The following is a 15144-nucleotide window of genomic DNA, read 5'->3' as shown; positions in this document are numbered from 1 at the left end:
TGACCTCGTGATCCGCCCGCCTCGGCCTCCCAAAGTGCTGGGATTACAGGCGTGAGCCACCGCGCCCGGCCTATAATGGCTATTTTGTCTGTTAGCTCCTGCAATGTTTTGCAGTGATTTTTAGCTTCCTTGCATTGGATTACAACATACTTCTCTCACTCAGTGAACTTTGTTCCTACTCATATTCTGAATTCTACTTGTATCATTTCAGACATCTTAGCCTCAGCCCAGTTCCAAACACTTGCTGGAGAGTTGATGCAGTCATTTGGAGGAAAGAAGACACGCTGACTTTTTGAGTTTTCAGTGTTCTTGCACAGATTCTTTCTCATCTTTATAGGCTTATCCACCTTCAACCATTGCGGTTGCTGACCTTTGGACAGAGTACTTTTCTTTTATCACATTTGATGACCTTGAGGGTTTGATTGTGGTGTCAGGTGGATTCAGCCAACTGGCTTTGTTTCTGGAGGATTTTAGGGAGCCAGTGTTCAGCTCCCAATTCCTGGACTGTGTGCTTTAACTCTGAGGAAATTGTACTGGGCCCCAACTTTGTTCTCTGGCTCCTCGAGGTTTGGGGTCCACTGCACTGAGGGGACCAAAGTGCGGCAACTGCAGCAGAGTGCTAGCGGATGCAAAAGTGCCTGCCTCCCTGTGGGCATTCACCCAGTGGTGGAGGCAAGACAGCTAGGGTGGGGACCAGGGGGCCCCTGCTGACTGTGTGTGCTGTTGCACTGGAGATAGTGTTGGTTTGGGGTGAGGTGCTGGCCAGCACGGGTCTAGGTGCCTTCTCTGTGCTCCCCAAGCAACAGTGGTCCCTCAGGATATAAGAGGGTCCCTTTTCCTCTCTGCAGCATTAGGTCAAGGGTGAGGTGCTGGTGGGGGTGGGGGATTTTTGGCTCTGTGCCTGCCAGGGCTCCATCTTCAATGGCAGTTGGTGTGGGTTGGGGTGTGTGATGCACTCCCGTGTGCTGGTAGGGCAAGTACAGCAAAACCCACCCATGTAAACACACACCAGCAAAGGGATGTAGGAAGTTTGCATATAAAGAGCTGCAGTATGTAGAGGCAATATGCAGGCTGGTCCATGGCTGTAGGGGCCACCTTGCTGCAACCCTCCATTGGTCAGACATGGTCCACTGGCACAGAAGCTATGGTGTGAGCACCTGAGAGTGCCCTGTAAGCAGGTGTGGCCAGGCTGGGGCCCTGGGAGAGGCAAACAGACTAAGGAGTGCTGAGGTCAGACCAGCCCCATCTCATATGCAAGACTTCCCAGCAAAGATCAGGTCTCAGAGGAGAACTCTCTCAAAACTAAAGCCCCAACACAGCACAGCTGCTCTACAAAAATGTGGCCAGACTTCTTTTTTAAGCAAGTCCCCTTTTTTTAAGAGGGGAACTCTCAGACCTGATCTCTGCTGGGCAATCTTGCACATAAGATGTGGCTGGTCTGACCTCAGCACTCCTAAAGTGCTGGGATAAAGTGTCTCATAAGAGCAAATGGTGCCTAGAGAGATAGCTGTCCCTGCCCTTTGGGCTCCGCATCAGCTGGCTTGCTGCTCTACCACTTGGCTTTTCTCCTAGGGGCTCCACCCCAGAGAGATGTGAGTTAGCAATCACTTAGTGCGATCAGCCCAGGATGGAGTGTCTGTGCTGTGGGCCCAAGCCAGCGTTCCCTGTCGGGTGATGAACAGTGGAGAGTGTGTGGGACCCATGGGAGATGGACTGGCTTGCTCACTGGGTCAACTGCAACTTGTTGGACATGTCAATACAGCACTTAAAGTCTTTGCTCCCTTGATATTCCAAGGGTAGCAAGGACAGTTCCACTGCAGAGGCAGTGGCATAGAGGATTTCAGTTGCTCCTGGAAGCTCTGTCCAGGGAATTGCTGAGTTGCTACTGGCTTGGTAGCTCCAGTGGGGTGCTGGCTAGAGACCCAGGATGGGAAGACCTGCCCATCAAGAAGATATGGAAACTGGCACCCACGTAACAGTCTGGCCACTTTTCCGTAGGGGGGCTGTGGTATGCTGGGGGTGCACTCCAGTCCCTAACTGCCTCATATTTTCCAGGGCCTGAAGGTATCACCAATGAAGGCTGTGAAAAGGCAAAGATGATAGCCTGCCCCTTCCTCTGGGAGTACTGTACCACTGAGGTACAAACTTGTTGCCAATCTGAACACACCTGTAGGAGGTGGCTGGAGGCAAGTGGAAAAAACTCTTGCCTAATCAGGAGGAACAAGAACAGGGACTTGCTTAAAATGTAGGTCTGGCCACTTTTTGGTAAAGCAGCTGTGCTATGCTGGGGGTTCACTTCAGCTCCTCATCACCTCAGACACTCTGAAGCCCTAAGGCTGAAATGGCTGAGTTGCCCAAACAGCAAAGATGACAATCTGGTCCTCCCCCTGGGAGCTCTGACTCAGGAAGGCCTGAAACCTCTGTCAGCCAGAGAACAGCACTGAAGGTAGCCAGAGACCCTGGTTGAAAGACTCCACTCAGTGATAACAAATGTGGTCAGGGACTGACTTAAAAAAGAGTCTGGTCACATTTTCATAGGGCAGCTGTGCTGTGCTGAGGTACCACTTCCACCCCTGGTCAGCTTGGGCTCTCCAAAGTCTGCAGGCCTGAATGGCTAGTCGCCCAAACAGCAAAGGTGGTGACCCACCCCTCTCTCTGGGTGCTCTGTCCCAGGGGGGATTTAAATCTCTGTTGGCCAGGGAACACTGGTGGGGGTAGCTGGAGGCCTCAGCTGGGAGGTCCTTTCCAGTGAGGAGAAACAGGATCAGGGGCCTGCTTACAGAAGCAGTCTGGCCATGATTTGATAAAGCAGCTGTGCTGTGCTGCAGGATGTCTTCTTCCCCTGGTCGGTTTGTACTCTCCAAAGCCTGCAGGCTGGAATGACTAAGTTGCCCAAAAAGGAAAAATGGTGGCCTGCCCCGTCTTTTCTCTCAGAGTTTATCTTGTGTGATGGACCTTAATTTTCAGGCTGTTAATTTTACTGTTAGCATTAGAGTTGCTCAGAAAGAATCTCACTGTTACCTTTTAGGTTAGATATATGAGAATTCATTGTCTCCTGTAAATAAACCTGTTCATGTCTTGTTCTCTGGAAAGAAGTCTCTTTCTGCTATCTGACTTCAGTCACAATCATGTAGAGCAGTAGCCAGTCTAAAATGACATGATTGAATTTCCATTTCCAGTGTTTCATTGTTGTGTCTTACATTCTGCAGTTCAAAACTGAGCATTTTATTCTCAGTTGTCAAAATGCTAAGCTGTCCACTGTACTGAACTACTGCTTTTGTTAGTGCTTCCTCATTCAATTGTATAGCCTTTAGAAGATTATCATTCTTTTCTTTCACACTTTTAATGTACTCCAGATATTTCTTTTCCCTTAGCTGGTTCTGATGTTTTATTGTGTCTAGTTCTATTCTTAGCATGGCAATTTCTTCCTGCATCATGCTATTTTCATGCAAGAGTTCTTTTTCTTCCTTATGGCTAAGAGAAATCTGAGTAAACAAAGGGAAATTTTAGTTAGCACTCAATAGAGGGACATATCATAATTTCTTCTGAAATTAAAAAGTAACCTGTATGTTTGTATAATGAAAGAATTCCCATAGTGGATATTTACCTAAAAACAAGTTGGACAAAACTTCAAACCTAATAGAGTGTAAACTCCACAAATCTAAATATTTATTTAAAGATTATGAAAATTAAATCACTGGAGGATTTTTAAGAAACTCAGAATTGTAAATGCATTTCTCTGAATTACAAAAAACCCAGAGGCATAAAATATAAGATTAATACATTTGACTATATTTTTTAAATTGGGTTTACACTCTGATATCTCACCTATAAACCATAACATTGTAGGAGCCTTAGCTATACATATGTTAGGGCAGAAGCAATTTCTCAAAATTCTTTAAGTTACTTTTTCTCAAGAATGTTTTATCAATATTCTACTTTTCTAATATGTTATAGTCAGTTATGAGAATTACACTTATTCATAACTGTTAAATCTAAACATTGTACCCTTCTACATTGTACACATCTGCATCTAAACATTGCACCTCTATGTACGACACTGAACTCATTTAAGATCACAATTCTTAAAAGAAGTTAAAAAAATATATATGCAGCTGATTGCAGTGGCTAACACCTATAATACCAGCACTTTGGGAGGCCAAGGCAGGCAGATCACAAGGTCAGGAGTTTGAGACCAGCCTGGCCAACATAGTGAAACCCTGTCTCTACTAAAAATACAAAAAATTAGCCAGGTATGGTGTTGTGCACCTGTAATCCAAGCTACTTGGGAGTCTGAGGCAGGAGAATCGAGTGAACCAGGGAGGCAAAGGTTGCAGTGAGTCAAGATCGTGCCATTGCACTCCAGCCCAGGCAACAGTGCGAGACTCCATCTCAAAAATATATACATATTTTTGAATATATACATATATATTCAAATATACACATATGTATATACACAAGATGCAGGATTTTCTCCAGGTCTTCTGATGCTACTTCTAGTGATCCTCCACAAAATCACAGTTACTTCTGTGGTGTAAATATATAAATACAAAAGAAGCCTTTTATTTCAAAATATGAATGGTAGCATACAACTTATAGAGCTTTTCTTAGAAATCATGAGATTATTTGCCATTGCAATAACTTATTTCTTCTTTATAATGTTTGAAACAGTAATAAGTGTGAAATAGAGGAAAATATACTGAACTCTTTCTCTGGGAACAAAATACTTATCAATAAATTATCACTCAATGTATATCATGCATGTCATTGTTTTCAAAGCTCTTTGCATTGAAATGAGAAACTACTTGGAGCAAACTGTTACTGTCCTCAAAAGTAAGGATAATGATATCCACAATATGGCCTCTGACCCAACTATACATTTCCTACTTTCTTAGCAGTGAAAATAATAAACTGACTTCTCTATTAATATTTTTAAAAGATGAACTAATGTCCAAAAACTGGAAAATCTGTTGTTAGCAAAACTTATTTTTGATATTGGAAAGATCATCAATTCTTATGGAAAATATCAAATGCTTCTTTGGATTTAGGCCATTGTGAATGTCACTACTCAACTGTTGCAGGCAAATGGAGTTGAATTAAGAACATGGCTTTATCCTATATGTACATATATAGACACATGATAAATGATATATACATATATACATATATATGTGATTTAAAAATCCTTTATACTTTCTGAAATATATAGTTGTTTTTTTAAATACATACATTTTATATAAAAGCATTTGAAAATGACTAAAGAAAATACCTCAAAATTCATTTTTTTTTCGGCCACTTCTATCTGCTTCTGTTTAGTAGTCAGAATCTCATCTTGTAATATTCTAGCATTCTGTTCCTTGGAAAGTTGCTTCCGGGTATCATTTTGTTCTTCACTAGAAGAAATTTTAATTTTCATGAGATACTGAAGGTATCCCTAAAATGATTTACAGGCCAAGGTGTCATCATCAGATATCATTCACACAATGTATATCTTGCAGATTAATCCAAGAAAAGGCAAAGGGGTCTCACATCTGTTAAGCCAGCTGTCCCCAACCATGTTGGCACCAGGGACTGGTTTTGTGGAAGGTAATTTTTCCACAGACCTGAGGTGGGGGGATGCTTCCAGGATTATTCAAGCACATTACATTTATTCTGCACTTTATTTCTACTATTATTAATAATGAAATAATTCTATAACTCACCATAATGTAGAAGAATCACTGGGGGCCCTGAGCTTGTTTTCCTGCTACTGTATGGTCTCATCTGGGGGTGACAGGAGATGGTGACAGATCATAAGGCATTAGATTCTCATAAGGAGTGAACAACCTAGATCCCCTGCATGAGCAACTTACAACAGGGTTCAGGTCACACTCCTATGACAATCTAGTGCCACCACTGATCTGACAGGAGGAGGAGCTCAGGCGGTAATGTGAGTGATGGAGAGGGACTGCAAACAGATGAAGCTTCACTTGCTCACCTGCCACTAACCTCCTGCTGTGTGGCCCAGTTTCTAACAGACCAGGGACTGGTACTGGTCCTTGGCCTGGGGATTGGGAACCCCTGTGTTAACCCATAATTTTCATGTTTATTTTTTGGAAACATTTTTAACTTATATTCTTAATTCCTATGTATTTTATAAGCAACTTAGACATTCTTTTGAACAAGACAGGGTCTAATATTTTGTTTTTAACATATATGTTTTTATTATACATATAATATATTACATGTTTTTATTATACATATAATATATGTATTTAACATATAACAAAATTAATTCAAGGTGAATTAATTTTATCTGTTTATGAGACAGAGATGTGAAATAAACTAATCGTGAATCATTTTCCATTTTACTTTTATTTCATGCATATTAAGAATAAAACTGGGAAGTCCCAGGCAGAGCAATTGGGCAAGAGAAATAAAGGGCATCCAAATTTAAAAGAGGAAGTCAAGCTATCTCTTCACCAATGATATGATCTTATACCTAGAAAACCCCAAAGACTCTTACAAAACACTCCTAGATTTGATAAATAAATTCAGTAAAGTCTCAGAGGTTACAAAATAAATGAATACCAATCAGTGGCACAACTATACACCAAATACAACCAAGCTGAGAGTCATATCAAGAACCCAATCTCTTTTACAATGGCTGCAAAAGTGTAAAATACCTAGGAATATACTTAATGAAGGAGGTGAGTGATCTATATAAGGATAACTGGAAAACACTACCGAAGAAAATAATAGATGACACAGACAAATGAAAATACATCCTATGTTCATGGACTGAAAGAACTGATATTGTGAAAAATGACCATAGTACCCAAAGCAGTCTACAGATTTGATACAATTCCTATGAAAGTACCAATGTCATTCTTCACAGAATTATAAAAAAAGTTGACATTTATGTAGAACCATAAAAGAGCCTGAATAACAACAGATGTACCAAGCAAAAGGAACAAACATGTTGGCGTCGCATTATCTGACTTCATATTATGCTCTAAAGCCACAGTAACAAAAACAGCACCATACTGGTATAAAAGTAGATACATAGATCAATGAAACAGAATAGACAATTCAGAAATAAAGCCACTTACAACCAAATGATCTCTGAGAAAGGATACAAAAACATACACTGGAGAAAGTACACATTATTCAATAAATGGCGCTAGGAAAAAAAGATAGCCACATGTAGAAGAATGAAACTGGATCTCTATCTCTTATCATATACAAAAATTAATTCAAGATGGATTAAAGGCCTAAAACTAAGACCTGAAAACATTGACCTAGGTGAAGAATTTATGATGAAGACCCTAAAAGCAAATGCAACAAAAATGAAAATAAATAAATAAGACCTAATTAAACTAAAAAGCTTCAGCTTCAGCACCGCAAATTGATAATCATAAGAGTAAACCAACAACCTATAGAATGGGAAAAATATTTGCAAATTATGAATCTGTCAAAGACTAATATCCATAACCTACAAGAATCTCAAACAGATCAGCAGGAAAAATACAAATGATTCCATTAAAAAGTGTGCACATGACATGAATAGACATTTCTCAAAAGAGGATGAGCAAATGCTGAACAAGCATATAAAAACATACTAAATATCACTAATCATCAGGGAAATGTAAACTAAAACAACAATGAGATATCACCTCACTGCAGCCATAATGGCCACTATTAAAAATCAAAAGACAACAGACGTTGGTGTGGATGTGGTGAAAAGAGAACAGTTATACACTGCTGATGGGAATGCAAGTTAGTACAAAATCTGTGGAGACTCTCAAAGAACTAAAAGTAGATCCTACCATTGTACCCAGCATTCTCATTTCTGGATATCTACAAAAGAAATCGTACTCTCAAAAAAACACCTTCATACATATGTTTGCTGCAGCACAATTACAACATGAAAATATATGGAATCAACCAGTGTCCATTGACTGATGAATGGCATAAAGAAAATGTGATATATATACACATATATGTGTGTGAGTCCATATATCTATGTGTGTATATATATACTTATATACATACATCTACATATACATACATGTATAGATACGTATATATACACACACACACACACACACACCACAGAATACTACTCAGCCATAAAGAAGAATGAAATAATGTTTTTTCCAGCAAATTGGATGGAGCTAGAGGCCATTATTCTAAGTGAAGTAACTCAGGAATGGAACGACAAATACCACATGTTCTCATTTATAAGTGGGAGCTATGCTAGGTTATGTAAAGGCAGGTAGAGTGGTATAATGACATTGGAGACTCAGAAGAAGGAAGGGGAGAAGAAAAGTGAGCAATAAAACTACCTACTGGGTGATGGGTACACTAAAATCCCAGACTTCACCACTATAAAATTGATCCATGTAACCAAAAACCACTTGTACCCCTAAAGCTATTGAAATAAAAATAAATCAATTTAAACAGAGAGTTAAAAAAAGAATAAAACTGTATAAAGTTTTTAAAAAGTATTCTGGTTTGAGACAAATGGCCATTTCATGCTCTGTTGGTTGAACTGTAAATTAATACAAATATTCTTTTTTTAATTTTAATTTTAATTTCCAGAGTACATGGGCAGAATGTGCAGGCTTGTTACATAGGTAAACATGTGCCACAGTGGTTTGCTGCACCTATCAACCCATCACCTAGGTATTAAGCTCAGCATGCATTCAATACAAATATTCTTGAGGACAATTTAGAAATATTGATCCAAGGCCTTTTTGAAAAAGTTTCTATATTTTAACCAAAAAATTCTATATTGAAGACTTTATACAAAGTAAATAATTAGAAATGCAGAAAATGATTTATATAAAAGATATTCTGGGCTGGGCGTGATGGCTCACTCCTGTAATCCCAATGCTTTGGGAGGCCAAGGCAGGAGGACTGTTGGAGGTCAGGAGTTGGAGATCAGACTGGGCAAGATAGTGAGACCTTGTCTCAATGAAAAATTTCAAAAGTTAGCCAGGCATGGGAGCATGTGCCTACAGTCTGAGCTGCTTAGGAATTTGAGGCAAGAGGATCCCTTGACCCCAAAAGTTCAAAGTTGTAGTAAGCTATGTTTGCACCAGTGCACTGCAGCCTCAGTGACAGAGCAAAATTCTAATAATAATAATCATAATAATAATGATAATAGTAATAATAAAAAGTATTTCTTGCAGCATTAATTCTAATACAAAAGAATCAAAAACCCCAAATTCTGTTTGTTAAATAATGAGATTTCTATATGGTAAACTTCTAAATAGCCATTAAAATCACAATTTAAAAGCATATGCAATAAATAAAAGAAGCACAGTTAAGAATTTGTTGTATTATTTCCAAGATTTTCAGACTCCATAAGACCAAGACGTTTTCTCCCATTAAGCCCCAGAAAGTCAGCAATCACAATTCTCACATATATATTTAGAATAAAGAGTTAAAATATTTCTCTAAAACTAGAATGTCATACCTCGAACTGTAGCGTTCTTGCTCACATTCACCTTTCTGAGGAGCTAACTGTAATTGTGTTTCTTTTGCCTCAGATAGCTATTTTTGTAGTACATGAACCATATTTTCCATTTGTTCAACTTCTACTGTAAGTTGCTCATAGTGGCTATTTTTGAGTTCTAGTAAGTGTTCTTCTGAAATAACTGCATCCTGGATTTTTGATAGGCTAGCAGAATCTGCATCGGGGGGAAACAAGGTGGAAATAAAATATAAGAGTAGTTTTTGGATATAAAGTCCCGTGCATTTTAACCTTCACCCATCCATACACCAAACAAATATGCACTGAGTTCCTACCATGGCGAACACAGTCTACTGAGCTCTGCAGATAAAACAAACAGTAACTCTGCTCTTGTTTAGCTTTAGGTGTAGTGAAGAAAAAATACAAAGAAGTGAAATTACAAATTCAGATAGATGCTGCAAGAAAACAGTTCTATGATCACACAGGATTTGATCTATACTGGGCTCAGGAAGATTCCCCTGGGGAAGAGCGGGCTACACTGAGAAATGAAGGGTGAGAAGGAAGCTGTTAAGTAAAGGGGGTAGAAAAGCATTCTAGCTAGTCTATGTCATGTACTGAAGCTCTGCTGCAGTCTGCTTCTGGCCACGATGGAGCAGCAGATACTGATTTACCTTCTCACTTAAAACAAAACCAAAAAAGACAAAATACATAATACCACGATTTTCAAGAACAAGGATTTCAGGTAATGAAGACAATGAACCCTGTAAGATAGGAAACAAGAGAAATAAGCCTTACAAACACCCCAGCCCCCTGACTTGGCAAAGTTTCCAGGCCATGACAATTGAAGGAAAAAAAACTGAGGTAGAGTCTACCAAAAACTGAGGTAGAGCCCCAGATTCTCTGAGTTCGAACAATGAAGCTGAGAATCTCATTGGGTATTTATTTAGCAGAATAATGAACAGTATATTTGTCCTAGGAAACTACTTGAGACCAGGGGGAAAAAATCCTTAAAAAATTGTAAGAAACAGTGCCTGTTGCTCACAGTGTACCAGGAAGAGTGTCCATTCGTCTGAATGATGCTGAAAAAACTCAAGACTTCACAGGGCAAAGAATAGAGTTATCAGAAACACCTTGATTCAGGAGTGGAAAATTAGACCAAATCAAAAAACAAGACCAGAAAGATCAAGTTGTTTATAAGTCAACTGTGTCCCCAAATAAATCTCAAGTAGAGACATGGAAGATATTTCTTGAAAGAAAATTACACTAGTAGGAATTCAAATTAAAATGTCAGGACTGGGCCAGTTATGGTGGCTCATGCCTGTAATCCCAGCATTTTGGGAGGCCAAGGCAGGTGGATCACTTGAGGTCAGGAGTTCGAGACCAGCCTGGCCAACATGGTGAAATCCCATCTCTACTAAAAGTACAAAGAAATTAGCTGGGCATCATGGCAGGCACCTGTAACCCCAGCTACTCGGGAGGCTGAGGCAGGAGAATGGCTTGAACCCAGGAGGCAGAGGATGCAGTGAGAGGTGATCGAGCCATTGCTCTCCGGCCTGGGCAATGGAGTCAGACTTTGTTTCAAAAAACAAACAAACAAACAAACAAAAACAAAGTCATGACGGAAAGGACACTGGTAGAAGTAAATACAGACTAGATACCACAAAAGAGAAGATTCATAAATTTGGGACATCAGAGAATTATGCAAAAACTTTAAGCAATAATATACCTGTCCCCAAAGAGGGAGGGAGAGACAATGACAAAACATAAAGAGAAAATGAACAGAAACTTTCTAAACTTAATGAAAACCATAATTCCACAAATCCAGGAAGAATCTGGCTGGGAGAGAGGAAATGAAAGCATACTATTCTGATTTTCTTATGCCATATGTGATATGATATAATATTGTCTGAAAGTGAACTGTGATAAGTTAAAATCATACAGTACAAATTGTAATGCAACCATTAAGATAGCAAAAAAAAAAATAGAGCCAATAAGCCAAAAAATGAGAGATAAAACTAAACCATAAAAGTTACATAACTAATTGAAAGGAAATTAGAAAAAGAAGGGAACAAAGAATAGCTGGGACTAATGAAAATCAAACAGCGCGATGACAGATAAACTTAAATATTAATATATCAATAATCACATTATAAATGAAATGGGTCTAATAACCTAAATTAAAAGACAAATTGTCAAACTGTATAAAAAGCAAGATCCTACTCCATGCTACCTATAAGAAACACACTTTAAATATAAAGACACAAATTGGTTAAAAGGAAGAAAAATATATCCCATGCAAACAGATGACAAAAGAAATCTAATCAGGAATCATTATATTAATACTAAAGTAGATTTCACAACAAAAAATATTACTAGTTATAAACAACATCATTTCAGAATGATAAAATATTTAGTTATTCAAGAACACATAATCTTAAATGTTTATGTACCTGGTAACATAACGGCTTCGAAATATGAGCTAAAAACTGATAGAAGAAATTGACAAATTCACAGGTATAGTGTGAGATTTCAATATTGCGTACTGAATACATGATAAAACAAGGAGGCAGAAAATCAGCAAGACAAGAGTAGACTTGAAGAACACTATGCTTCTCAAGTGCCCTTGGAACACTTAGCAAAACAGACCACATTCTAGGCCATACAATAAATCTTCATGAAAGTATTAAGTCAAAAGTATTTAAGTCATACAAAGTATGGTCCCTGACCACAAAAGAATAAAATTAGAAATCAGTAACAAAATAGCTCATCAAAATACTCAAAAATTTGGAAACAAAGTAACACATATCTAAATAATCCTAGGCAAAGTGGTGACACAAAGAGAAATTGGAAACTATTTTGAACTGAATAAAAATGAAAATACTACATGTTAGACTTTGTGGAATATAGCTACAACAGTTCCTAAATGAAAAGTTAGCACGGAATGTCTATACTGGAAGACATTCAGATCAATAGCCTTGACTTCTATCTTAAGAAAGTAAAAAAGGTCTGGACACAGTGGCTCATGCCTATAATCCCAGCACTTTCGGTGGCCTAGGTGGATGGGTCATGAAGTCAGGAGTTCGAGTCCACCCTGGCCAATATGGTGAAACCCCATCTCTACTAAAAATACAAAAATTAGCTGGGTGCAGTGGTGCACACCTGTAGTCCTAGCTACTTAGGAGGCTGAGGCATGAGAATTGCTTGAATCCAGAGGCAGAGGTTGCAGTGAGCTGAAATCACACCACTGCACTCCAGGCTAGATGACAGAATGAGACTCTGTCTCAAAAACAAGCAAACAAACGAAAAGTAAGTAAAAAAGAAGAAACTACAAAAAAAGAGAGCAAATTAAACCCAACAGAAGCAGAGAAAATAATAAACATCAGAACATAGTGTGAACATTTTTGTCCTCCCAAAACTCATATGCTGAAACTTAATCACAGAGGTGATGTTATTAGATACTGCAGCTTTGTGGAGGTGATAGCTCATGGAATCCAAGCCCTAATGAATGGGATTAGTGCCCTTCTTATATAAGAGACCCCAGAAAGCTCATTCACCCCTTCTGCCATATGAAGCACACAGGGGAAATAAAGGAATATAGAAATCAGGAATTTGTCCCTCACCAGACACTGAATCTTCTGGCACCTTGATCTTGGACTTTGCAGCCTTTAGGAATGTATGAAATCAGTTTCTGTTGTTTATAAGCTACCAAGTCTATGGTATTTTGTGAGAGCAGGCCAAACCGATGATGACATCAAAGATGAAACAGGAGAACAATAGGGAAAATCAATAAAACCAAATACTTTGAGGTCATCAGTGGAAGTGATAAACCTTGACCTAGCCAGGCTGATCATAAAAAAGAGAATAAATTACTAACTTCAGAGATAATTAATGTAACATTTTTATACATTCTACAGATATTAAAAGAATAGCAAGATAATAGTGCAAGCTTTATGTAACTAACCATTACCACTTAGATTAAGTGGGCACGTTCCTTAAAAAATAAAAATTACCAAAGCTCAATCAAGAAGAAATAGATAATCCAAATCACCCTATATCTATGAAAGAAAATAAAGTTGAGAAAACTCCAGGCCCAGATAGCTATGCTAGTGAATTCTATCAAACAGTTTAGGCAGATGTAATATAATTTTACACAACCTCTCTCCCAAATAATAAAGAGGAGAAATACAACACAACTCATTCTATAATGCTAGCATTACCCTGAACCAAACAATGATATTACAAAAAAGAAAACTCCCTCATGAACATTGACAAAATATTTCACAAATTTCTGAAGCAACCAAGATACCTTGCAATAGGTGAGTGAACAACCTCTGGTACAGTTACACAATGAACCATTATTCAGTTCTAAACAGAAACGAGCTATCAGGTCATGAGAAGACATGATGGAAACATAAACGCATATTACTAAGTGAAAGATGCCAATCTGAAGGCTATGCACTGTATGATTTCAGCTATATGACATTGTAGAAAGGGCAAAACTATGGATACAGTAAAAAGATCAGTGGTTACCTGTGGTTGAGGAGGGCATGAAAGGGCAGATAGGTGAAACATAAATAAATTTTAGAGCAGTAAAATTACTTTGTACAATACTATAATGATGAATATCAGTCCTTTCCAAACCTACAGAATGTACAACACCAAGAGTGCACACTAATATAAACTATGAAATCTGGATGATTATGACATGCAATTTTGGTTCATCAATCATATCAACTGTACCACTATAGTGAGAGATACTGATAATGGGGGAAGCTATGCATGTCTGTGGACAGGAAGCACAGACAATCTCTGTACCATACTTTCAATGTTGCTGTGAACCTAAAACTACATTTACATAGTCTTTTAAAATTTTCTAAACAGAATTTTGGCAAACTGAATACAAATAAATATAGGGTCTCATTTTTTTGCCCAGGTTGGTCTCGAACTCCAGCTTCAAGCAATCCTCCTGCCTTGACCTCCCAAAGTACTAAAATTACAAGCATGAGCCACCGTGTCCGGCCCCAATGATATACTTTTTAAAAGCCTACATCCTAAGAAAATAAGTTTTATTCTAAAATGAAAGGTTGGTTTAACATTAAAATATCAGTTATTCACCCCATTAAAACACTAAAAGAGAAGAACCTTATGATTATCTCAGTAAATAAAGACATTTGATAAAATTCAACTTCATTCTTGATTTAAAAAGAAAAAAAAACTCAGCAACCTAAGAATACAAATGAACTTCATCAGCATGATACAAAGCATCTATAATAAACCTACAGTTAATGTGTATCATGATGACAAACTGAATGCTTTCCCCGTATCAGGAATGACACAATAATGCCTGCTTTCAACACTTTAGTAAGCATTGTGCTGAAGATTCTAGCCAGTGCTGTCAGACAAGAAAAATAAATAAAAGTTATCCAGGTTGGAAAGAAGAAGTAAAACTGTCTTTATTCACAACCATGATCACATAATAGGGGCAGATAAACTACAGCCTCTGGGCCAGCTTCTGGCTTTTGTAAATAAAGTTTTATTGGAACACAGCTGAGTTTATTAATGTAGGTAACTTCCCTGACTGCTCTCATACTACAATGGCAGAGTTGACTAGCTGCAACAGAGACTGCTTTGCCACAAGTCTAAAAGACTTCCTATCCATAGTAAGAAAGTAGTTTGAGAATGAA

The 15144-nt window shown here is 38.3% G+C and overlaps 1 protein-coding gene across 3 annotated transcripts in view; it reads right to left on the bottom strand.

The window, feature by feature from the left end:
• Positions 1 to 1260: 1260 nt before the first annotated feature.
• The window catches only part of POTEA (POTE ankyrin domain family member A (gene/pseudogene)), a 72806-nt gene continuing 58922 nt past the window's right edge, over positions 1261 to 15144 (bottom strand). For 2 of the 3 annotated variants that reach the window (NM_001005365.2, NM_001002920.1), the window contains 3 exons: positions 9464 to 9677; positions 5270 to 5393; positions 3251 to 3485 (listed from right to left, as the gene is read on the bottom strand). In NM_001005365.2, coding sequence (NP_001005365.2) covers positions 9541 to 9677 — 137 coding nt within the window. In that variant the 3' untranslated portion in view covers positions 3251 to 3485; positions 5270 to 5393; positions 9464 to 9540. Of the gene's footprint in view, positions 3486 to 5269; positions 5394 to 9463; positions 9678 to 15144 lie in introns of all 3 variants that reach the window. The other variant, XM_024447146.1, reaches the window with a different exon arrangement.

The sequence above is a fragment of the Homo sapiens genome, chromosome 8 (assembly GCF_000001405.40).
Source record: "Homo sapiens chromosome 8, GRCh38.p14 Primary Assembly".
Taxonomy (NCBI): Eukaryota; Metazoa; Chordata; class Mammalia; order Primates; family Hominidae; genus Homo; species Homo sapiens.
The sequence above is the reverse complement of the archived record's forward strand: the minus strand, read 5'-3'. Positions and strand labels throughout refer to the sequence as shown.